General features: G+C 34.0%; 2 long non-coding RNA genes across 2 annotated transcripts in view, besides 1 other annotated feature; both read left to right on the plus strand.

The window, feature by feature from the left end:
• The window catches only part of NRXN1-DT (NRXN1 divergent transcript), a 1375317-nt gene that overhangs the window by 1047011 nt on the left and 300938 nt on the right, over positions 1–27368 (plus strand). The window lies entirely within an intron of this gene.
• LOC124907767 (uncharacterized) lies at positions 470–25492 on the plus strand. The gene is made up of 2 exons (XR_007086319.1): positions 470–733; positions 24559–25492. It is a non-coding gene; the product is annotated as an uncharacterized LOC124907767 (long non-coding RNA).
• Positions 3237–4436: an enhancer, noted in NCBI's record as "CDK7 strongly-dependent group 2 enhancer chr2:52309986-52311185 (GRCh37/hg19 assembly coordinates)". NCBI's record gives its function as "activates an origin of replication core promoter dependent on BRD2, BRD4, P300/CBP, MED14 and CDK7 cofactors, with strong dependence on CDK7, by STARR-seq in HCT116 cells {active_cell/tissue: HCT116}" and the evidence as "EXISTENCE:reporter gene assay evidence [ECO:0000049][PMID:35650434]".

Consider the following 27368-nt stretch of genomic DNA (forward strand, 5'->3'; position numbering starts at 1 on the left):
AAAAATTGACTATTGAAACAGGTTTTAAGAGTAATTCATCACATATTCATCGTGTATACTTAATGTGTAGTATATTCAGCATCTATGCATTTATAAATATAGAGAAACATCTTTGTTGCCTTCATCCCAAGACTGACTGTGTACGTTCTGTGCTTGTCACTATAGTCTTTTTGTCATATTACACAATAGACATTTTAGAGATAATTTTTGCACAGGCTTACCTGGGGTCTTCTGTCAGTCTTTTGAGTCTCCTCTATCTGTGCTATCAAGAGTGCCAGAATAAAATGCTTGCTGGAATGGATCAGTGTCATAGATGTTATCTGAAAGCATGGAAGTAAAAATGTTCATCTTTGATAAAGAAAATAGAAGTTAATATTATTAAAATCAAACTTTGCAAATAAATTTTCAAGCCTACCAGACCTAAATTGAATTCACTTTCATTCTTTGCTACCTTTGTTTCACAGGTCTTCATTGTTTTGTTTTGCCCTTCTATTCCATAGACAAGGTAGGAAAAGGCTGCCATTACTGAATATATTCAATACTACCCTGAGAGAAGAAATGAGGTTCTCATGGGAAAAAAGTCAAATATATGATTGTTGCTTAATTTAAGCTTGGTGGTCATTTTCATAGCCAGTATAAACTGACAGAGCCTCAGTATTTCAAACAGACTGTACCTTTTTTTTTTTTTCCAAGACCTCTAATGATATCGGAAGCTAACTCTGCCATGGAAAAGGTATGCTTACGAATATTTTTTCTTGAGTTTTAGGCAAAATTTAAATATCTTTTATCCTAAAGATACTATTATATTTTCACCCAGAAATTAGCAAATTTCACATGCAAAATACCAAATAGTCACTGGAGAAAAAGTGAATATGAGAGAAGATAGCATCTAGAATAATCCCTAGTTTAAAGAAAAGGTAAATGTAATGTCACATATTTAAAATGTCTATTTACATGTCTCATCAACATTACAAAATGAAGATGCAACTCAAAAACCTGCATTCCTAATGCTTTTTACATAGTCACCGTAACTGATAACCCCTCTCTCCTGAGTTTAGAAATAAGGAAACAATACGAGTGTTTTCCCAACTCCCCATCCTAAAAGTATCATTTGATGTGATAGACTTCACTTTTAAAATACAAATACCCTGAAGACGTTATGCCGTTACTTCTCAGCAATTTCTGTGGCCACATTAATTGATAATTTGTTTGTTTTGCTTTGAGCTTCAAAAAGTAGCATCAATCAAAGGGCAAGACTAATGCTTAAAGGAGTGTAGGGCAAGACGGGAAAACCAGGACTTAAAGGAAGACTGTTATGGGACACAATAGTCAGCTGTGGATACTTTGCATATGGCATGAGGATATTAGCCACCTAGAGATTAAGACAAGAATGATGTCAGAAAGTGAAAGAGAAGAAAGAAACAGGGCATGCCCCAAGAACTTATTTTGTTACTTTTGTAAATACAACTGAACCAGTTAGAGCCACTATCCAGATTTATTATATATCCATAGCAGTAAAAATAAAAACAAAAAATAATAAATATTGAATCAACACATCATATTTATGTATGTACTTATTTATCAATATCTGTGTATAATCCTTCCTATAGTGAATAATTTGGAATTCAGTGGCTTTGGGGATGGACTAAGGAGTCAGAGAACAGTTAAAATTCCTAGCTCTAATTATTTGTAGCCATGTGTTCTTGTATGAGATATACAATCTTTTTAAACCTAAGTTTTAAAAAATTTATCTTGTAAAATGAGGATAATAATGGTGCGTAAATTATAGAATAGCTGAAAGATGAAATGGCATATCCCATGCAAACTGCTTAGCACATGACTTGCTCAGTATAAATATTCAGTGAAGGCTGCCTATTTTGTTATAGATCAGCAAGAGTTCTGCTTGCCTCTGGAACACACTGGTAATGACAGAAAACATGCTTAAAAGTATAGTTATTAAGACAGAGTTGGTCTTCGCCTTTCCCATACATGCTGTTACCACCACCACACAAACCACTAAGATTTTAAAAGGAGAAAGCAAAAAAAGCAAGTGCCATCAGATTTTCTGTTCTATTTTTCTAACTCATAATTACCAGAGATGAAGCCCACGTAATTTATTTAATTGTTTCACTGTTTGACACTATGTTTAGTTCCTTTTCTGTTAGTTTATTGCTTGCTGCTGGTCCCCGTGGAACCCTTAGGACACACTTCAAAATGAAATATTTTTTATCCCAATTAAAATATTTTAATGAATTAAGATCCTGAAAGTGCTTGATGATGACTAGCAGCACTATCTTATACAATGGAAAACAGTTCTTAGAGGGCACCAAACTGTGACAAAGAACCAGCAAAAATGACACCTAGCTCATATATTTTAGAGGAGACGATCGTAACGTCAGGAAATATAACATAATAAATTAATGTCTATGCCAGAGAATATTATCTTGCTTATTCACTGCCTTTATGTATGGATACAGGTAGGCTTTTAAAATTAGTGTTTTTTATTTTGTTTTAAGAGAGGATGGTGCATTTGCAGCATCTCTCACCAGTCTCTTTTTCATTAATACTAAATATTATGCTTGCTAAATTTGTATTGTGAACACAAACTTGTATCCCATCTACTCTAATGTAGAACTCCATTAAAAAGTAAAGGTTTTATAGAGGGTTTATATCGCTCTCTTACTACTACCCCAAATTAAATATAAAATATTTTAATAACTATCATAGGCTTTAGTCCAAACAAGACCAAGATCTAGAGATCACCTCTCACAGTCTAGAAAATACAATCAGGAGAGAGTCTGGCCCATAAAACTATTACTCCTTTACCACTGAAGTTCTCCTGGGGAGGGACTTTTTACATTAAGGATACATCTAGCTAATCTCTTTCCAAACCTTTATTCACTTATTCAATTAGAAAATGTATGGGAAAACCTGGGCATCTAGGCTCAGCCCCAGACTGCCGTCCTCTGTAATTTATTTTCCTCTAGCAGCAGCCATCCCCACCTGGTTGCCTAGTACTGAAGTTCAGTGTGGGGAAGTCCACTGATCTCTTACCTAAACCTGCACTCTCTAACATCTGTTTAATCCATGTGAAATTTGATATTTTCACCTCTATTTTATTTCCTAAATTCTTCAGAACTTAGGCAAGAAGTGTGCTCTTTAGCAGCTCCATTGGAGACCTCAAAAAAGCTAGTGAGGTGTAGTGAGAGAGGTGAGGCACTGGGGCACAGAGGGACTGGTGAGTGAAGCTTATGATGGAGCACAGGAAATGAGACCAAAGAACAAAAGAGAAGCAAAGTTGATGGAATTATAATGCACAGTTGGAGCCTGGTCAAAAGAAAGTTAGGACACTTATCACTGCATCATGAAATTAGTGTATTAAGTTGGAGTGGATCATCAAAAAGATTGACAACACAATGAGCAAAATGGCCATTTTAATGATAACCATCAACACACCCACTAACACTAGCACTTATTGAACAATTAGTGTATGTGGTGCACTAGGTTAAGAACTTTAATGCATTAATACATTTAATCCTTAAACCACCCTGATAGTTAGGTACTTAGCTCTTAGCCATTACTGATCAAGGATTTCTTAAATTAGCCCCAGGTTGGAGCAGAGCTAGCTGAGAATCTAGAATAATGTTAAACATACAGGTAGGAGGTAAGTGGCCATAATTTTAAAGGTTACAGGGGTGACTCATTATAGTTAATAGTTCTTTGAGGACTACAAAGGTAGAAGCCTTTGTGAATCATAGAACCACACATCCTAAATTCTGAAGAGACCTACTGTGATCTTCTGACTTACTCTTTGATCTTTAGACATTATCTCCACTTTGCAGAGGAAAAAATCTGAGGCACAGAGAGGTTAAGTGACTTGTTGAAGATCATACAGTTACACTGATAGAAAACTATAAAATCATACCTTATTAAGTCTTGGAAACCTATTGGTAACCTTTTGAGTAACAACTGTTTGAAGAGCCAAATTAATCTTTTCTAGGACATGCACTATTCATGGGTTTTTCCTTCCCCCCACTAGAGTTTAGACACTTGGAGCTTGCTGCTTAAAATAACTACCTCCCACCCCCACCTTCTTCAGCATGGTGACTGCTGGATCCATTTGCAGTCTGTATTTCCCTGGGAGGTGCTAACTCCTGCAGCTTTCTTCTCTGTGAACTGAAGTCTCCATCTATACAATTTCATTGCTCATAAAGATGAGCAAAAAGGAGAGCACAAACAAATCCAATTTACCCATTTTTTGGTATCTAGAATACATGTGGAGACAAAATTGGTAGTTTGCCTCAGCTCTACTTGCTAGGATAATTTGGGGTGATATTGCAACTAAACGTTATGTTTAAACTATGCCAGTCACACTGTGCATTTTAAAGGCCACATTACAAGTCTCATTACCTTTCTAACATATCTGAGAGTATAAGTAAATTTCGAAGAAAAATGGCTTCCATGAATATAAAATTATGTCACCCTTAATTACACATTGTTATTCAAGGTACAGAGAAGACCCGTTTATTTCACCTTACTTCTACTTTGAGATGATTTTCACCGAGGATGAAGTTTTTCAAATGCATTTATTTCAAAAGTTGTTTGTCTTGCTCTTTGTGCTTATGTATAAACATACTAATATACATTTTCAATCCCTAAAATGTATATTGTTGATCTGTGTTTCTAATTTTCTCTTCTTTAAAATTAAATATATTATCAAGTCCTGGACATCTTTAGTCACAAAATAATATAGACTTTTCTCGTGTGTGTGTGTGTGGTTTTTAAAAAATTTTCTCAGCAATATTATTTGCCTCAATTTGGATGGCTGCTGACTGATCAGGGAGGTGGTTGTTGAAGTTTGGGGTGTCTGTGACAATTTCTGAAAATAGGACAGCAATGAAGTTTGCCCTATCTACTGACTCTGCCTTTCATTACAGATTTCACTATAACATGCAGTGCTGTTTGATAGCATTTTATCCACAAGAAAACTTCTTTTAAAATTGGAGTCCCTTTTCTGAACCCATGCTGCTGTTTTATCAACTAAGTTTAAGTAATATTTTAAATTATTTGTTGTCCTTTCAACAATGTTCACAGAATCTTCACTAAGAATAGATTTTGTCTCAAGGAACCACTTTCTTTGTTTATCCATAAGAAGCAACTACTTATCTGTTCAAGTTTTATCATGAGATTGCAACAATTCAGTCACATCTTCAGCCTCTACTTCTAATTAAAATTCTCCTGCTATTTTCACCACATCTACAGTTACTTCCTCCTTTGAGGTTTTGAACCCCTCAAAGTCATGCAAGAGGGTTGCAATGAACTTCTTCCAAACTCCTGGTAATGTTGCTATTTTGACCTTCTTCCATGAATCATGAATGCTCTTAATGACATCAAGAATGGTGGATTCTTTCCAGAAAGATTTCAAGTGACTTCACCTAGATCCATTAGAGAAATCACTATCTCTGGCAGCTATAGCCTTACGAAATGTCTTTCTTAAATAATAAGACTTGAAAGTCAAAATTATTCCTTTATCCATGGGCTAAAGAATGGATATAGTGTTAGCTGGCATGGAACAACATTTAATTTGTACATCTCCATCAGAGCTCTGTGGTGACCAGGTGCAATTTCAGTATGCAGTAATATTTTGAAAGGAAATTTTTTTGCTGAGCAGTATATCTCAAGAGTGGATTAAAATTATTCAGTAAACCATAATATAAACATATATGCTGTCAACCACACTTCATTGTTGCATTTATAGGGCGCAGAAAGAGTGGGTTTAGCATAATTATTAAGGGCCCTAAGATTTTTGGATTAGTAAATGCAAATGGGTTTATTTAAAATCACTTAAATAACTCAATAAACTTAAAGTCACCAGCTACTTTAGCCCCTAACCAGTGAGTCAGCTCGTTCTTTGAAGCTTGGAAACCATGCACCTCTCCTCTCTAGCTATGAATCCCGGATGGCATCTTCTTTCCATACAGGGCTGTTTCATCTACACTGAAAATTTGTTTAATGTAGCCTTCTTCATCAATGATCTTAGCTAGATCTTCTGGATAACTTGCTTTAATTTCTACATGAGCACTTGGGGCTTCACTTTGCACTTTTATATTATGAAAACAGTTTATTTCCTTAAACTTCATGAACTAACCTATGTTAGCTTCAAACTTTTCTTCTGCAGTTTCCTCACCACTCTCAGCCTTTATATAATTGAAGTGTTAGGATCTTGGTCTGGATTGTCCTTTGGCTTAAGGGAATGTTGTGGCTGGCTAAATCTTCTATCCAGATCACTAAAACTTTCTACATGTCAGCAATAAAGCTGTTTCACTTTCTTGTCATTCACATGTTCACTGAAGTAACACTTTTAATTTCCTTCAAGAACTTTTCATTTGCATTCATAACATGGCTAACTGTTTGGTATTGGAGGCCTAGCTTCAGGCCTATCTGGGCTTTCAAGATGCCTTTCTCACTAAGCTTAATCATTTGTAGCTTTTGATTTAAAGTGGAATGTATGCAACTCTTCCTTTTAGTTGAATACTTGGAGGCCATTGTAGAGTTATTAACTACGTAATTTCAATATTGTTGTATCTCAGGAAATAGGAAAGCCCAAGGACGGGAAGGAGGTGGGGAAATGGCTGGTCAGAGGAATAGTGACAACAGATATGTTTATCAATTAAGCGTGCTGTCTAATATGGGTACAGTTTGTGGCACCCCACAGCAATTACAGTAGTACTACCAAAATCTCTGGTCACAACCAGAAAAGATGTAATAATAATGACAAGTAATGAAATATTGCAAGTGTTACTCAAATGTGACACAGAAACATGAAGTTAGCACATGGTGTTGGAAAAATCTGCTGATACGTATGCTTGATGTGGGGTTGCTACAAACCTTTAATTTGTAAAAAAAAAAAAAAAAAAAAAAAAAAAGACCATATCTGCAAAGCACAATAAAGCAAAATGCAATAAAACAATTGTGTGTACAGTTAGCATTTGTTAATATTTTTTATTTGACTTTTTTAAAGAGTCTGTTCTCTGTTATTTATGGTGCCAAATACAAATCTATTAACCTACTAATTAACAATGGAGGCTTCTCAGACTATCATAGTCCATGTGGTCTTTCTTAACTAAATACCAGAGGTTTTTTATGTTTTGTTTTGTTTTCTCTGCTCCTAATAAATACGTCTCTTGGCTGTTTGTTGTGCCTTATCTCTCCTAATATAGAAATAGTGAGTTTGCAACAAATACACATGGGGAAGATGACATAAGCAAGGAATAAAACTTAGATATATTGAATTGCTAATATTTGATCTTTATTTTTTATTGTAGCATATTTGTCATTTTCTGAATTATAAACATACCTCCCAGTCACTGAAAATGTTTCACAAAATTCAAAACCACTAAGTGTTTCCTTATTACAATACTAACCCCTTCTTTTTCCTTCCAGTATATTATATCTTATTCTTCATAATTTTGCATCATTCATTTATCCAGTTAAACTGCCAATGAAACTTTATTGTATGCATATTCAACCTGGTATTAGGTTATTTACCAGTGAAGTCATATTAACAAAAAGTATTTTATTGATATTTAAACTATGATTTTGGCTGTGGGAAATAATTTACTAAATTCCAAATAAATAGAATAATTTACATTTTTTCTCTAAATTTTTACCTATATTTGCTTATTTTACATTACTTTTGAGAACTCTCTTGGATCATATTTGCATTCTGCTTCATTTCTCTTATCCTTTCCAGTTCCAGGAAGACCGATAATAAACAGGAAGTTTAATATTTTTTCTTTCCAAATACTGGGCACTTGTAGACTCCACAAATTTTTATAGGAAATAAACAAAATTTATTTAAACTACCCAAAAGTTTTTATTATATATCTTTGTAAAAATCCAAATATTGAGAGGCTGTTCTGCTTTAATAATAGTTTAATAACAAGTAAATACAATGGAAGTGACAAATAATGGAAAATTATCGATTGTTGTCTAAATTGTCCCATGCTCCTATTATGCTAATCTCTGGAGTAAAAGAGTATTACTATGAAAACTGAGAAATGTTTGGCTAAATCTAAAAACTCTTCTTTAAATAGTACATATTTTTAAGATTCTTAAGGTCAATAGAAGTGAGAATACTACTGAATAAATGTTTTAAAATTATGCCTATTCCTGAGTTTTGTCCTCTTACAATACACTGTCATAATGGAAGACGTAAAGCTAGGATATTTAATCCCAAAAGATTTCATGGAAAACTTAGAAAGTTGAATGCATTTCTAAATATAAATAAATTTCTAAATATGTCATAAATAATAGTCTGATATACCTGTACAGAAAATATAATACTGCTAAAATACATTCAACTCAGTACTTTTGGTAAATATCATTTATTGCTAATAAAAAGGTTAGATATAAGACACATTTGGTGTGCTTCAGTCTTGATTCAATTTATTGATGAGCTTCTACAATAACGAATTTATTTTATTATGTCCACTGTATTTTATATAGAATGTGTCATTCTGTCTATGATAACAAACGACATTAGCAGGTATAAAGATAAGTGATTTGATATTAAGAGATAGGCTATGCAAAAAAAATATTAAAAAGCTAACTTAAAAAAATATTTTTTGACAAGCTAAATGTAACTTTTTTACTTAATTGGTGCTTTGAATAAAGAGCCAGATTGTGGTGACACTAGCACTATGAAACTGTTGGCATTTTTCTCATTAACCCTATTTTTAAAATGACTTATATTTTTACTTCAAAAATAATATTTAAATTACTTTGGATAAATTTGAGCTGACTTAAAAATATCCTTGGTTATTTTATTTTACCTAAGAAGGCATAAAAACAATATTCTTTCTCAGAAAGAAAAAATTTGAAAGATAACGTTCAATAACTCAAGTATGAGGGTATCACCTAATTGTGTCAATAACAGTAATATAAATATACACAACTCCTGGAAGGCATACAAACAAGCACAGCCTACCACACAAACTAAAGCTATAGACACATGAGCCTGTTATAGTACAGTGAAGGTCACATAAAGGACACAGGGAAGCAAAGGGAAGGCTTCTGGATTCAGAAGGTTAGGATTCTAATCCTGACAATCAAAATCTTAAGGTCAGTTATAACAAACTTCTTAAACTTCTAAGTCAGGATTTATTAAACTACAAAATAAGGGTTTAAACTGGAAGGCTTTATTGGTTCCTTTTAACCCAGAAATTCTCTGATGCCCTACAATATCTTCAGTTTTATCTGCCTCTTTTTTTCTAGATACCTCTTATAAAAAGCAAAATAACATACATCAATAATCCAGCTCTTGCAAGTGATGATTATCTACCACTTTAAAATAGAATGGAGTAATTTGTGATATATGACTGCTTTTGTCAGGAAAAAAGTAGATTAAGTAAAAAATCATAGTTAAAATAGAAAAAGAAAACCCTGTTTAAAGAAATCATAGCATTTTTGAAGCAAAAAGCCTTTGATAGATAAACATCATGGAGTGAAGGAACAAGAGAGTGGTGAATTTACAATTTGAAGACATAGTTTATCCTATAAATATTCTATGAGTGTCTGGACTTTTCCTGGGCAGAAGGCCACACTAAGTGATACAGAAACTAGCAGAAGTTTTGGTAGTCTTATATACTAGAGCAGAAAATGGTGTATTTAAAAAAAAAAAAAAAAACCTTAGAAGAGGTCCCTTACCTCTGTTAAGGGACACAGGTAAACATTTTCAGCTTTGCGGTTACATAGTGTCTGTGTCAACTACTCAATTCTGCCATTGTAGTGAAATTTGTCCTAGATAGTATGTAAGTGAATGTGTTTATGTTCCAATAAAACTAGTGAAATTTAAGTGTCATAAAATTTCACATTTTATGAAATATTTTATCCCTGAACTATTTAAAATGTAAAAATACTTCTTAGTTCATACGCTGTCAAAAAAGTCAGTAGGCCAAAGAAACAGACATCGGTACAAAAGAGACAACTTTGGAGACTTGTATGGTTTCAGTCAATTTCTCTATTAAGACATTAGCCAAATTCTGAAGCTGTATGAGTTGGGAGCTGAACATTCTGAAAAGAAGAAAAGAGTTTTCCAAAGTACCCTCGTGGTGGTGGTGGTAAGACACTGGAGCAGTCCTGGTGAATTCACTGAATTCTAAATTTAAAATTTTAAAATCTATGTCTCAGGAATGGAGTAAGAAGTAGACTAAATCTTCATAAAACTGCAACACTGCCTCCACTAAACTTCATCCAAGAATGGAATAAATTGATTTGTTTGCCAGTCTATCCACCTAGAAAGGAAAAAGTAAACTTCCCCTGGTTGAAAAACAGCATCTGCTTGGGCCTCTACATTTTGCACAGAACATGGCTAGAAAAAAAAATGTAGGCATGTCGAGAGTAATGAGATTAAGAAAAAAAAATCAAGAGGGTCATCAGATGATAGCTACATACCCGCCTACACATGATCTAGATAATGTACTTCACTGACTATGACTTTTATGTAATTATTATTAAAATATTCAAGTAAAAAGACAAAAGATAGGAGAACTACATGAGAAAAAAATTAATGATTCTGGTTAGATTTTACTTTCAACCTTACACAGATCTCTTAAAATTACTACACACATGCACATACACATAAAATCAGGATGACTATTCTAAGTTTGGCTTGATTTCTTTCTTAAATGTTTGAAAGACATTTCTAGTGAAGCAATCTTTTTTCTGGGGAGGGTTTTAATAATAGATTATATGTTTAAAAATATTTGTAGGGCTGTTCAGATTTTCTTTTCATGTGTCAATCTTGGAATATACTATTCAAGGAGTTATTTTCTTAAAATTGTCAAATAGTTAAAGTATCAGTAATCTTTGTTTCTATCTTCATGTCTTCAGGGATAAAAATATGAAATATGGAGTGATATTTCATCATATTTCTGATGTCGGTAACTTGTAAATGTTCTGTGTTTTCCTTGATCAGTCTTGCTAGCATTTGACTAAGATTATTCATATTTTCAAAGAATCACCTCTTTCTTGTTTTAATGTACTCTTTTGTGCATTTTCTCTTTCATTAAATTATCTTATCTCTATTATTTTCTTCTGTTTACCTTTGTTTGTTTGATTTGCTCTACATTTCCTAGCGTCTTGAGATGGAAGCTTAAATCATTAATTTTCAATTTTTGTTCTTTCCTAATATATGCATGTAAGAATATAAATTCCTCCCTAGACATTGATGTTGCTATTTCCCACAAACATTCATATGCTGTGTCCTCATTATCTTTTTGCTTAAAATATTTTCCAATTTCTATTGCGATTTCTTCTTTGACCCATGGGTTGTTTGGGATTGTGTTGCTTAATTTCTAACAGTTGGAGACTTTCTAATTATCTTTTCCTCATTTATTTCTAGTTTAATTTTCTACAGTCAGAAAACATCTAAATATAATTTTATTCTTTGAATTTTTGTTTAGATTTGCTGCATGATCTAAGACACATAAAAATATATCTTCTGTACTCATTAAATAAATACTTTTGTCTTTTTGGACTAGATGTTTTATGTGATTGTATGTGATCGTATGTAGTTATTTTTGATTGGTTCATCATTTAGTCTTTCTACTTAGGATCAGAGTAGTTCATACACCACAGTTACAATGTTATAATACTTTGTGTATCTCTGTGTACTTACTATTGTCAGTGAGGTTTATACCTTTAAGTGATTTGTTATTGCTCGTTAATGCCCTATTCTTTCTGATTGAATTACTCCCTTTATTGTTTACTTAGAACAGGTCTAGCATGGATGAAACCTCTCAGCTTTTGTTTTTCTAGGAAGATCTTTATTTCTCTTTCATGGTCAAAGAATATTTTCACCAGATATACTATTCTAGGGCATTTTTTTTTTTCCTTCAGCACTTTAGATATGTCCTGCTACTCTCTTCTGGCCTGTAAGTTTCCCACTGAAAAGACTGTGCCAGACATATTGGAGCTCCATTGCATGTTATTTGTTTCTTCTCTCTTGCCGCCTTTAGAATCCTTTCTTTATGTTTGACCTTTGGGAGTTTGATTGTTAAATGCATTGTGGTAGTCTTCTTTGGGTTAAATCTGCTTGATGTTCCATAACCTTCTTGTACTTGGATACTGATAACTTTCTCTAGTTTTGGGAAGTTCTCTGTTATTATCCCTTTATATAAACTTTTACTTCTATTTATTTCTTGACCTTCTCTTTAAAGCTAATGACTCTTAGATATGCTTTTTGAGGCTACTTTCTAGATTCTGTAGGCAGAATTCATTGTCTTTTATTCTCTCTTCTTTTGTCTCATCTGACTGTATGTTTTCAAATACCTTGTCTTCACACACACTAGTTCTTCCTTTTGCTTGATTAATTCTGCTATTAGATGACTCTGATGCATTCTTCATATGCCAGTTGCATTTTTCAGCTCCAGAATTTTTGTGTGAATCTTTTTAATTATTTCAGTCTCTTCGTGAAAAAAGGTAGAAGTCTGAATGCCTTCTCTGTGTTATCTTGAAATTCTTTGAATTTACTCAACGCAGCTATTTTCATTTATCTGTCTGAAAGGTTACATATCTCTTTTTCTCCAGAATTGGTCCCTGGTGCCTTATTTAGTTCATTTGGTCAGGTCGTGTTTTCCTGAATTGTGTTGATGCTAGGAGGTGTTCTTCTGTGTCTGGGCATTGAGGAGTTAGTTATTTATTGTAGTCTACACAGTCTGGTTTTATTTGTATCCATCTTTCTCAGGAAGGCTTTCTGGAAAAGGACTTTCGTGTTGTAATCTAAGCTGTATCTGTTTTTAGGGGGTACCCCAAGTCCAGAAATGCTCTAGTTCTTGCACTCATAGAGGTACTACCTTGATGGTCTTGGACAAGATCTAGGATAATTCTTTGGATTATCAGGCAGAGATTCTTGTTCTTTTCCCTTACTTTCTCTAAAATGAAGTCTCTTCCTCTCTTCCGAGCCACCTTAGGCTGGGGGTGGAGTGACACAAGTACCCCTGTGGCCACCACCACTATAACTGTTCTGGGTCAGGCCTAAAGCCAGGACAGCTGTGAGTCTCACCCAAGGCCTACTGTAACCTCTCCCTGGATACTGCCTGTGTTTGCTCAAGGCCCTGGGGCTCTGCAATCAGCCACTGGCAAAGCCAGCCAGGCTTGTGTTCTTCCCTTCAGGTGGCAAGGTCTCCCAGGCCCCAGGTGGATCTAGAGGTGCCATCTGAGAGTCAGGGACTAGAGTCAAAGACCTTAGAAGTCCGTCTGGTGTTCTCTTGTACTGCGACTGAGCTGGCACTCAAACCACAAGATACAGTCCTTCTTACTCTTTCCTCCCATTTCCAAAAGCAGAGGAGACTGACCCCATAGCCACCACCCCATGGCTATGAGCAGTACTGCCGGATTACTGCTGATACTACCTTAAGGTCCAAAGGCTCTTAAGTCACCTTGTGGTGAATGCTGCCTGGCCTGGTACTCGCCCGAAGGGCAGTAGGCTGCCCTCTAGCCCAGGACATGTCCAGAAATACTGTCTAAGAGTCAAGTCCTGGAATCAGGAAGCCCAAGAGCCTGCTTGATGTTCTATCCCACCATGGCTATTGCAGTACCTAAGGTGCAAGGCAAAGTCCCCTCTGCTTCTCTCAAGAAGAAATGGTTTTTCCTCTAGTCACCACAACGGGTAATGTGCTGAGTCTCATCTGAAGCCAGCAAGTCTCAGAGGCTCACCAAAGGCCCTCAGGATAATTCCTGGGTATTGTTACTGGTTATTCAGGGCCCAAGGGCCCTTCAGTTAGCAGATGATGAATGCTGCTAGGACTGGATCCTTTCCTTCAAAGCAATGGGTTCTCTTCTGGCCCATGGTGGTGTCTAGAAATGTCACCTGGGACTAGGGTTTGGAATGGGGGCCTTGTGGTTCTGACTGGTGTCCTATCCTGCTGTGACTGAGCTGGTATCCAAGGTATAAGACAAAGTCCTCCCCATTCTTCCCTCTTCTCTCCTCAAATGGAAGGAAGGGGTCTCTCTTGGAGATCTAAACTGTGCAGCCTGGGGTTAGGGAAAGGGTGATGCCCGCACTTCCTTGGCTGCCCCAGCTGGTGTCTCAGTATGTCACATGCCTCCCCAGTCCACTGTCTCTAGGCCTAGTTCAGCACTGGGACACACATAAGAGTTGCAATCCTTGTGGCCTAGACTTCCTTTCAAGTTTACTTAGAGACACAGAGCAATCCAGTCCTCAGTGGCAAGATTGGCAGGGACTCGAGTTCTGACCACTGGGATCTGCAATACCCGTCTGGCTGTGGCTGGTTTAAATGTTCACTTCGTGGGCAGGCATCATCTGAGTTTGGTCTGGTTTTCCTTTCCACTCTAAGAGGACAACGCTGAGTTTAATGCCTCACAATTGCTGTGTTATTCCTCCCTCAGTTCCCAGAGATGCTCTCAGCACCATGACAGTGCTGCAGGGAGAATAGGGGCATGGGCAGGAGTATGTCAGCTATTCAAGACTGTTCTCTCTGTCTCTTTAGTGCCTCTTTCAGTGATACGGAGTTAAAACCAGGTACTATGAGTGCTCACCTGCTTTTTTGCTATTATGAAGGTGTTTTTTTTCTGTGTAGATAGTTGTTAAATTGGTGTCCTTGTCAGGGGATGATTGGTAGAGCTTTCTATTCCACCACTTTGCTCTGCCTCCTTCAAAATACAGCTGTTTTACATTAATTTAATATGCACAGTGTTAAATATTTTACTATTTTAAAGGTTAAAAATACATATTTGACATTATAATTATGTACAATTTTATTCATAATGTCTATGAAAATACTAAAGCTTTGAACATTTTACTCCAATTCTCAAATTTTATTTAACTTTTATTTTATACATTTTTATCTGTAAGCCACTATAATTGTTGATTGGTAAGACAATCTGGATCACATTCACTAATATCTTTCCTGTTTTTATGTGATTATTTTCTTTTGTCTATAGTAATACCTTTTATATATCTAATAGTGAATGCATCTATTGATGGTACATTCATTCTCTCCTTTTTGTTTTTCAGCGTGAATAGTTTTTTATTTCTCTTTATTTTATAAGGATATTTGTTTCTCAGCATAAACTTCTAAATTGGCAAGTCACTTTTTAATTTTAGAGTGGTCTTATTCCATTTTATTCTCACTTTCATAATTTCAGGCATCAGTCTTTTTATTAAGAGAGTAATGTGTGTCTTTTCAGGAGTCTTATTTTGTTTTGTTTTGCTTTTAGTAGTTTTATTACGTTTGCTTATTTGTAGTCATTGTTATATGCCTATTGTTGGGATTCTCATAAATTTTTGAATCTGTGGGCTGGTGTATTTATTGAATTTTGAATATTAGTTCTTCAAAGATTATTGATGACTATCTTTTTCTTCTATTCTTTCTCCAACAAGTACACATATATTAGGCTGTTTTACTCTGACCCATATATTCTTAGTGTTGTTTTATATATTTTCCATTTATTTTCCTTGTTTTGCTCAATTTAAAAATTGTTTTTTGATATTTCTCCCAGTTTACTTGTTCTTTCTTTTGCCGTGTTTAACGTGCTATGAAACCTGTATAAAAAGTTCCTAACTCATAAATGGTATTTTTCAGCTTCAGAGTCTTTATTTTATTATATTATATACATTTGGATTCTTTGGTGCAATCGTCTATGTTTTAGTCTATTTTTTATGCCTTTTCCTTCATATCTGTGACATATTAATTCTTGGCCAGCGAACTCCACTCTATTTGTAACTGTGTTTCTATTTTCTATTTTCACATTGGTTTCTAGTCAAATGTTCTTATTTTTTTTGTGTTTGATTTTTATTGTATAATAGAGTATAAAAATATTGAGAGGATTTATATGATGGTATTTTTAAATTCACAGTATTCAGAAAATATTAATATTCCTTAAAAATGTAACTTTCTAAAAGTAGGCACCCATGAGAAATAAGGGTAGTTATTGTAAAATTTCAATTTCATTAAATATACTTAGCCTATTTTACTTGACATCACCATTAATAAGTTAGTGGGTTAAAAATCCCAGTGTTCCTAACCAGCATACATTTTACAGGAGCCTCAAAAGTGTATGTGGTAGGGACCTATAATAAAAAGGCACCAATGACCAGAATCTAGAAATTGATTCTTTTATTGGCTAGTAACTTACATTATAATATCGCAAGGCTTGATTTAGGCTTGAATGTTTATAAAGGAGGGTGTGTTAACCACCTTGTTTTGGTAGAGTATTATTGCATTTGTCTTTTACTATGTCTTAGATGAGCTAGGTATCAGTGTTTTAGTGCTGTATTTTTATTCTATTTGAAGCCATAATCAAATGCTATTTTGATCTATAAGAGACAAAGCTTAAACACTAGATAAATGTAATTAGATAGATTACATGTGTACTAATGATGAATTAAATTCTCAATTGCAATAATAAAAATAATTCACTTGTGAATTAGAAACCTGGAATTAATAAATTGAGGATTACATTACTCATAATCGTCAATATTGTGTTCTCCTCTATCTAGTATTGTCCAATGCGCAATGAGCAGAATAGATACCACTTCTGGACTGAGGGAATAGAAAATCCATGCATGGTTGTCTACCATAGCAAAAGCACATGGATGGATGTGTAATAATTGAGCAATATGATGATGGCACCCCCAGAATTTTGGATATCTGACTCTAAGGATAGAAGACAGTTATTTTAGAAAATCATTCAGATATGCAGTAGGCTCTGTACAAGTGAGAAATAAATGTTTATTTTATGAGTTCAGTGACATTTTTGGATTGATTTGTTAGCATAGGAAAAATTGACCTATCCTAATTTATGTAGAAACTTGTAGAATGTCATTGAGACTAAAGGACCTAAATGAGAGTAGAAGTAATAGTGTTTAGGTGCTCTCTGGGGAACCAGATACTAGGCTGACATTACCAAGACTAATTATACATCTCTCCTACTCCTGTTGACTCTCCCATCTCTCTCTTGGTCTAAATCAGTGCAGATGAAGTTAACAGTCTTGTAATTGAGTAAATTTTTAGGAGACAGGTTAATCGAACATTATCATAGGTTGAACAGAGCTTACAGAAGATTCTTATAAATACCTTATTAGTGACTAAAAAATATTATGATATGGTTAGTTTTTTCTTTGTTAAATGTATAGTTTTACTCATCCATATTTTGATGAAATTATATTTATAATAATTAAACACAGATGATATTTATTTCTAGCATACAAACCAATTACCACAGTAGTTATCATTTCTAACTACAGATTAGAAGGCCATAGGGAGGTTTAATAATTTAATTGCCCAATCCCAGAGATTCTAATTTAGTTTTTCTAGGGTGGAGCCAAGCCAATATCTTGATACTTTTCTAAGTGGTTCTAATATTTAGTCAAAACAGCTACCATATATGGTAAAAGCAGACTACAATGTGACTAAATAAAATCATTTTTTGCCAGAACCTTTCATCATTCTTGGCCTTTTCCAGAATACTTCCTATAATAGATAGAGTCCTTCAAATAATTTAATTACCTTTGCATACATGTCTGATTAAGGAAGATATCACCCATGCCGAAATAGAATAAAATCTAATACTATTGGATAAATACAGAACGTTGAGCCTGATGCCACGAGTTGCTTAAGACTCTGCCCCAAATTACGCAACTACAGGCTTTTCTGACTTTGACTTCAGTTTGACTAATCAAATTTTGGGTAAGGGCTACATACACCTCATCCTATGCTTATTGCTGAAGATATAAAAATACCTAAGATTAAGTTTTCACTTTTAAGGTAAGCAAAGCCTGTTACAAAAACAAAGGAAAACTAAAATAATATCACTATCATATAATACTTTGGGTTTCTGCTCAGAGACACAGTAAGCTGAAAAGTTATATCTAGACCCATACAACAACAAAAAAGATGGACAAATAGCAAAGATTAATGTATCTGAGAGATGATTCTCAGAGCAATCAAATAGACTAAGATCTAAGGAGACACAAGTGTTTGCAAGGAGCAACAGGATATGATCATGTGCTTACCTGAGGAAGATGCAATGACATGGGACACCAGCACGAAAACTCAGAACAGGTAAAAATTGGTGAAAACTGAATGTGGGATGGTGAGAGAGTTTGTTGCTTCCAGGGACCACATGGGGGTGGCTTCATACTCTTTTGAAAGCTTATTCATAAATGTGTGTTTATTTATGGACACTAAATTGTATTACATCAATCTATATTTCCACACTTACACCAACACCACATTGTTTTGATTAATGAATTTTGAAATTGGGAAGTTCTCCAACTTGTTTTTTTTATTTCAAGATTGTTTTGCTGTTCTTGCTTGCTTGCATATCCATAGAAATTTTAAGATGGGCTTGCCAAATTCTTGCAAAAAATAAATCTAGGGTTTTGCGTGAATTGAATTGAATCTGTAATTTATTATTATTAAGTATTGCCATTAATGTCTTTCCTTTTTTTTTTTTTTTTCTGAGATGGAGTCTTGCTCTGTTACCCAAGCTGGAGTGCAGTGGCGCCATCTTGGCACACTGCAACCTCTGCCTTCTGGGTTCAAGTGATTCTCCTGCCTCAGCCTTCCAAGTAGCTGGGATTATACGTGCATGCCACAATGCCCGGCTAGATTTTTGAATTTTTAGTAGAGACGGGGTCTCGCTATGTTGACCAGGCTAGTCTTGAACTCCTGACCGCAAGTGATTCACTCACTTTAGCCTCCCAAAGTGCTGGGATTACAGGTATGAGCCACCATGCCTGGCTATGTCTTTCATTTTAGTTATATGTTCTATATTTTTTTTCAACAATGTTCTGTAGTTTTCAGAGTATAAGTTTTGTGCTTCTTTTAAGTTTATTTCTAAGTATTTTTTTCATTTTACTCTTATAATTCCATGATAAGTGGAATTTTCTCAATTTTATCTTAGTTCATGCATTGCTACTTTATAGAAATATAATTAATTTTTACATTGATTTTATATCTTTAAATATTTCTGAATTTATTTATTAGTGCTAACAGTTTGTTTTATAAACTCCTTAGTATTTTCCATTATATACAGGATATGTAATCTACAGGTAGACATAGTTTTGCTTCTTCCCTTCGAATCTGGCTGCCTTTTATTTCATTTCCTTGATTTATTTCTCTGACTAGAACTGCCAAAAAATGTTGAATTAAATTTGGAAACAAATACTTGTCCTCTCCTCATTTTAGAGAGAAAGCATGTCTTTTTTCACTTTTAAGAAAAGCGTTAGCAGTGTTTTTTTTTTGTAGATGTCCTTTATCACACTGATGAAGTTCTGCTTCTCTTCCATTCTTAATTTGTTGAGGACTTTTATCAAGAAAGAGTGCTATATCTTGTCAATTGCTTTTTCTGTGTCTGTTAATATGATCATGTGAGTTATATCCATTATTTTATTGATGTGGTATATTACATTAATTTGATTTTCACATGTTAAACTGACCTTGCATTTCTAATACAAATCCCATTTGATCATTATATGTAATTCTTTTTATATATTGCTAGATTTTACTTGCTATTAGTTAGTTGAGAATTTTTGGATTTATATTCAAAAAGCTATTGGTCAATAGCTTTTGTTTCTTCTAAATAATTTGTCTGGTTCTTGTCTGAGGCTATTACTGGCTTTATAAAATAAACCGAAAGTGTTATGTCTTCTATCTTTTGAAAGACCTTTTGAAGTATTGGTATTAATTCTTCTTTAAATATTTGGTAGGCTCCTCAGAGAAGCCTTCTCGTCATAGAATTGTGTTGTTATTGGAAATATTATGGATGTAAATTATAACATTTTTCTTGTGATATATCCATTCAGATTTTCTATGTCTTGCTGGGCCAGTAGTTTTTTTTTTTAGAGACAAGATCTCAATCACCAAGGCTGAAGTACAGTGGCATAACCAGATTACTGACACCTCAAGCTCCTAAGTACAAACAATCATCCCCCCTCAGCCTCTTGGGTAACTAGGACTATAGGCATGCATCACATCTGGATAATTTTTTTTTTTTGTACAGATAAGGTCACACTATGTTGCCGAGGCTGGTCTCGAACCTTTGGCTTCAAGTGATCCTCCCACCCTGGCCTCCCAAAGTTTTGGGATTACAGGCATGAACCATGGTATCCACCCAAGGTCAGCTTTGATAGTTGTGTCTTTCTAGGAAATCTAAGTTATCTAATTTGTTGTCATATACTTACTCATATTTCTCAAATTTTTTTCGCTTCTCTAAGATCATTAGTATGTGTTCTCATTCATTTCTGATTTTAGTAATGTCAGTCTTCTATTTTTTTCTTTGTCAGTCTGACTAGAGGTTTCTCAATTGTATTGATCTTTTCAAATAATCAACTGTTAGTTTCCTAGATTGTTTCCATTGTTATCTAATCAAATCTCTATTAATTTCCACTGAAGATTTTATTACCTACTTCCTTCTTTTCTTTTTGAGTTTCATTGACTTTTCTTTTTCTAGTGTCTTAGGATGAAAGTGTAGGCCATTTATATATATATACACACATATATATGTATATATATACACATATGTATATATATACACACACATACACACAGTCTATTAAAATATATATAAATTAAAATAAAATAATATATATATATTTTAGAGCAATTTTAGGTTCACACAAAAATTGGGCAGAAAATAAGAACTTACAGAGATTTTCCATATACTGCATGCCCCAACACATGCATTGCCTTTCCCATTACGAACATCCCCCACCACAGTGGTACACTTGTTACAGCTGACGAATCTGAATTGACATTATATTAATCATTCAAAGTCCATAGTTTACATTAGTCCACAGTTTACATTACAATTTATAATTGACACATACTCACCATTACAGTATTATACAGAGTATTATGACTGCCCTAAAAATCCTCTGTGCTCTGTCTATTCATCCCTTTTTCTTCCCAATCCATGGCAACCATTGATTTTTTCACTGTTTCCATAGTTCTGCCTTTTCCAGGATGCCATATAGTTGGAATCACATAATACACAGCCTTTTTAGACTAGCTTATTTTACTTGAGAATATATGTTTGTGGCTCCTCCGTGTGTCTTCATGGCTTTATATCTCAGTTTCTTGTAGTCCTAGGTAATATTTCATTGTGCTAATGTATCACAGTTTATTTATCCATTCACCTTCTGAAGGACATCTTGTTGCTTCTAATTTTGGCATTTATTAAGAAAGCTGCTATACACGTCTGTGTAAACATTTCTATGTGAATACATTTTTAACTTCTTTGGGTTAATACCAAGGAATACAGTTACTGGATCATATGTCAGGAGTATATTTAGTTTTGAGAGAAACCACCAAACTCTTACAAAGTGGCTATGCAATTTTGCATTCCCACCAGCAATAAATGAAAGTCCTTGCTGTTCCAGATCCTGATCAGAATTTGGTGTCAGTTTTCCGGGTTTTGATCTTTCAAGCTTGCATTTTCCTGAGGACATATAATGTGGAACACCGTTTTATATGATTATTTGTCATGCGAACATTTTCTCTGGTGAGATATTTGTTAAGCTCTTTGGTCCATTTTTAAATAGGAATGCCTCTTTTCTTACTGTTGAGTTTTAAGTGTCCCTTGAATATTTTGGATTATAGTATTTTGCAAATATTTTCTCCCAGTCTCTTGCTTTTTTAATTCTCTTCATAATGCGTTTCACAGAGTAGAATTTTTTAATATCCATGAATTCCAGCTTCTTGGCTTCTTGTTTCTTTTATGGTTCATTCTTACATGTTATATATGTGTGTAAAGAATCATTACCAAACTGTTGGTTGTGTAGATTTTCACCTATATTATCTTCTAGGAGTTTTACAATTTGGTATTTGACAAATAAGTTTTAATCTATTTTGAGTTAGTTTTTGTAAAGAATGTATGGTCTTTGTCTAGATTCATTTTTTTTGCATGTTAAGTTGTTCCAGCATCACTTAATCAAAATATTATATTTTCTCCATTGCATTGCCTTTGTTCCACTGTCAAACATCACATGTCTATATTCATGTGGGTCTATTTCTGGACTTTGTTCTGTTTTATTGATCTCCTTGTCTATTCTTTCACCAATATCACATTGTCTTGATTATTCTAGCATTATAGTAAGTTTTGAGATTGGGCAGTGCCAGTCTTCCAACTATGTTCTTCTCCTTCAAATTGTGTTGGCTATTATATTAGTCCATTTTCATGCTGCTAATAAAGACATACCTGATCCTGGGCAATTTACAAAAGAAAGGGGTTTATTGGACTTATAGTTCCACATGGCTAAGGGGGTCTCACAATCATGCTGGAAGGTGAAAGGCATGTCTCACATGGTGGTGGCAAGAGAGAGAATGAGAGCCAAGTGAAACAGGTTTCCCCATATCAAACCATCAGGTCTCCTGAGACTTTTCACTACTGCAAACAGTATGGGGGAAACCACCCCCATGATTCTGTTATCTCCAACCACATCCCTCCAATAACATATGGGAGAGATTTGAGTGGGACACAGAGCCAAACAATATCAGCTATTCTGGGTCTTTTGCCTCTCTAAATAATCTTTAGAATCAGTTTATCAATATTTATAAAATAACTTACTGAGATTTTGATTGGAATTACATTGAGTATATAAATTAAGTTCAGAAGAATTTACTTTCTAATAATATAGAGCTTTCCTGTCCATAAACATGCAATGTCTATTTTATAAGTTATTTGATTTTTTTATTAGAACATTGTAGTTTTCCTCATATAGACCTTATACATATTTTCATAGACATACACTTTAAATTTTTAATTTTGGGCTGCTAATGTAAACGGTGTGTTTTAGAATTAAATTTTCACTGTCCATTGTTGGTAAATAGAAAAGTAATTGACTTTTGTATATTAACTTTTTATCCTGCAAACTTGCTGTAATTATTATTAGGTTCAAGAGCTTCTTTGTTGATTCCTTCAGATTTTCTACGTAGATTATTTGTCATTTGTAAGAAAAATCAGTGTAATTTCTTTCTTTACAATCCATATACCATTTATTTACTTTTTATCGCATCATTGCATTAACTTGCATTTCATGTGGTTGTAAAAATCATTAGTGAGGCGGGAATCCTTTGCTTCATTCCTGATCTTACTGGAAAAACTTGTAGTTTTCACCATTGTGACATTAGTTGTAGGTTTTTTTTTTTCCTATTCTTTAACTAGTTGAGGAACTTTTCCTCTATTCCTAGTTTACTATGAGATTTTATTCTGAATGAGCATTGGATTTTTTCCAGTTTTTTTTCTGTATCTATTGATATGATCATGTGATTTTTCTTCTTTAATTTAGCCTGTTGATGTGATGTATTACATTAATTGATTTCTGCCTTGCATACCTGTAATAAATCCCACTTGGTCATGATTTATAATTCCTTTTAAACTTTTTTCATTCACTTTGCTAGTATTTCATTGAGGATATTAAATTTATCTTCATGGGAGAGTTGCTCTGCAGTTTTCTTTTCTATGTTTTGGTATTTGGCAGTTTCCTTTTCTATGTTTTGGTATTAGGGTGATACTGGTCTCATAGAACAAATTAGAAAATATTTTCTTTGCTTCTAACTTCTGAAAAATGTGGTAGAGAACTGATACAATTTCTTCCTTAAATGTGTGGTAAAATGTACTAGTGAACTCACCTGGGCCTTGGGCTTCCTGGTTTTGAAGATTATTAGCGATAGCTTTTTTTTTTTTTTTTTTGCTAGACTTAGGCCTATTCAGATTATCTATTTCTTCTTGTGCGAATATTGTCAGATTGTGTCTTTCCAGGAATTCGCCCACTTCATCAAGGTTATCAAATTTGTGAGTATAGAGTTATTCACAGTATTCCTTTATTATCCTTTTAATGTCTACAGTATCTATAGTAATGCTCCCTCTTTTGTTGCTGACATTAGGAATCTGTACCCTTGTTTTTCTTCTTTGCTAGCCTTGCTAGAGTTTTATTGATTTTATTCATCTTTTCAAAGAAACAGATTTTTGTTGTATTGATTTTCTCTACTGATTTCATATTTTCAATTTTTTTGAATTCTGCTCTGATTTTTATCATTTATTTTCCTCTACTTACTTTGAATTTAATTGGCTATTTTTTCCTAGTATTATAAGGTGGAAGCTTATCTTGATTTTAAATCTTTCTTATTTTCTATTATATGCATTCAAGGTTATATAAATTTCCCTGTAAACACTGCCCTAACTGTATTCCACACATTTTGATAAGTTGTGTTCTTGTTTTCATTTAGTTCAAAATATATATTTTTTTAATTTTTGGATTTATTTATTCATCCATGTGTTAGTTTTACTGCTGCTGTCATTGATACTACTTACACATATACATACATAGGTATATATGTACATACATACACATACATACATTGTGAAATACAGTACAATTATTATTCAAAATGAACCGTTATGTGTTAAATCAACTAACAATAAGAAAGATTATAGGTATTCTACCTTCAGTTATTCTTTTTCTAATGTTTTTATTTTCTTTACATAGATCAAAGTTTCTGACATACATTATTTTTCTTGTCTCTAAAGGAGAACTTTCACACAGAAAACTAACAAAGAAATTCTGGACTTAAACTTGACACTTGCCCAGTTGGTCTTAATAGACATCTAAAGAATACTCCACCCAACAACTACAGAATATATATTCGTCTCATCTGCAGACACAACATACTTTAAAAATGACTGCATGTTTGGTCAGAGAGTCTCAACAAATTTGGAAAAATTAAAATTATACCCAACATATTCTCAGGTCGAATGAAATGCAAATAGAAATTACTGCCAAGAGGAATTCTCAAAACCACACAAATACGTGGAAATTAAACACATTGATCCTGAATGACCTTTGTAAAGCAAGAAAATTAAGGCAAAAATCAAAAAATTATTTGAAAAAAACAAAAATTGTGACACAGTGTAACAAAACCTGTGATATTGCAAAAGAAGTGATAAGATTTGTAGCACTAAATGCCTACATCAAGAAAATAGAAATATCTTGTTAACAACCTAACATTACACCTAAAGAAATAGAGAAAGAAGAACTAAATTCTAAATGAAGAACCCAGTTCTAGCAGAAGAAAAGAAAGAATTAAAATCAGAACAGAACTAAGTGAAATTGAGATAAAGAAAACTATTCAAAGGATCAACAAAATGAAAAGTTTGTTTTTTGAAAGGATAAACAAAATTGATAGACTGCTAGATAAACAAAGGAAAAAAAGAAGATCCAAATAAGCACAATCAGATATGACAAAGGTAACATTACAACTGATCTCGCAGAAATATAAAAGATCCTCAGAGATTACTATGAACATCTCTATGCACACAACTAGAAAATCTAGAGGAAATAGATAAATTCCTGGAAATATACAACCTCCCAAGATTGAATCTGGAAGAAAAAGACACCCTAAAGAGACCAGTAATGAGTTACAAAATTGAATAAGTAATAATAAAAAACTTACTAACCAGAAAAGCACCGGACCAGATGGATTTACAGCCAAATTATACCAGATGTACAAAGAAGGTGTGGTATCAATCCTATTGAAACTATACATAAAAAAAAAAAAAAAAAGAAACTGAGGAGGAGTGATTCCTCCCTATTCCATTACTCATTATTCAATTCAATTATTCAGTTACTCATTCTATGGAACCAGTATTATCCTCATATCAAAACCTTCCAAAGACACAATAGGCTGGGAATGGTGGCTCACGCCTGTAATCCTAGCAACACACAAAAAAAGTATTTTAACATTTTGCAAAGCATATTTACATGCATACCAATTCCTTAAATATTTCTTTGTCTGAGAAAGTTTTTATTTCCACTGTAGCCATCCTGTCCCAACCAAGGGGCATGGTGTGGAGTGATGAGAAACTCAGAAGCACATGTGAAACTCACACTCCAGAAGTATAGGCTCACTAAAAGTCATATATCTAATAATAAGGCTATAGAACATGTCCGTTACCTCCACCACACACCTTTTACTTGTGAAGGGTAACTGAAGGGTACAGAATTCTGGATTGGTGGATTTTTATTTCAACACTTTAAACATTTCAGTCCACTCTCTTCTGCTTTTATTGCTTCTGAAGAGAAGATGGGTGTAATTATTATCTTTGCTCCTCTATAGAGATGGCATTTTTCCCCACCTCTGTCTTCTTCCAGGAATTTATTTTTTATTATTGATTTTTATAGTTTGACAATAATATGCATAGGTATAGTTTTTTTGACACTTATCCAGATTGCTGCTCTCTAAGTTCCTTGGATCTGTGGTTTGGCTTCTGACATTAATTTGGGGAAATTTTCAGTTGTTAATGTTTCAAATACTTTTTCTATTTCTTTCTCTCTTCTTCTAATATTCTCACTATGTTTATGATACATCTTCTGTAGTTATGCCACATCTTCTGTAGTTATGCCACAGTTTGTGGATATCTGTGGCTTTTTTTGCCTTTTTTTTTTGGTTTGCTTAATTTTGGAATTTTATATTGAGATATCATCAAACTCAGAGATCATTTCCTCAGCCATGTCCAGTCTTCTAATGATCTCATCATAGGCATTCTTTACTTCCGTTATAGTTTCTGATCTCTAGCATTTATTTTTGGTTCTTTTAAAACTGTTTTTATCTATCTCTTTATCCATCTGTTCTTATATGCTTGGATTTTTTTATCCATCTGTTCTCATATGTGGTCTTCTTTAGTTCATAGTTGCTTTAATTCCTAGTCTGATAATTTCTACATTCCTGCAATACCTAAGTTGGTTTTTGAAGCTTTCTGTGTCTTTTTCAATTTGGGGTTTTTTTTTTCTTTTTTTTCCTCCTTTTAAAAGGTGTGTGGTGGAGGTAACGGACATGTTCTATAGCCTTATTATTAGATATATGACTTTTAGTGAGCCTATACTTCTGGAGTGTGAGTTTCATATGTGCTTCTGAGTTTCTCATCACTCCACACCATGCCCCTTGGTTGGGACAGGATGGCTACAGTGGTCTGCAGTTGGGTGTTCTTATTCCTTGTGGAAGGCTAGATGGATCTGGAATTATTTCCCTTTCCCCAGGTCAGTTAGGTTCTGAGGAAACCTCAGCACCTCAGGGTCTGGTTAAGTAACTTCTCCTGAGGGCAGATCTTGTTAAAAAGAACAGAGTGCCCTGGCATATCTGAAAATAATTCCTTTTCTTTTCCCCCTGCTGGAAGCATAAAGATATTATTTTTGCAATATTCACTGTAAGAACCTAGTAGAGCTCCTGGAGGTGAAGCTGACAAATGTGCCCCCAGTCCCCATAACTTGTTCTCACTGAAGTTTTTAATTCCCAGAGTTCTTCACACAACTTTCAGCATTTGTCAATTACTTTTCTGGTAAA

The sequence above is a fragment of the Homo sapiens genome, chromosome 2, assembly GCF_000001405.40.
Source record: "Homo sapiens chromosome 2, GRCh38.p14 Primary Assembly".
NCBI lineage: Eukaryota > Metazoa > Chordata > Mammalia > Primates > Hominidae > Homo > Homo sapiens.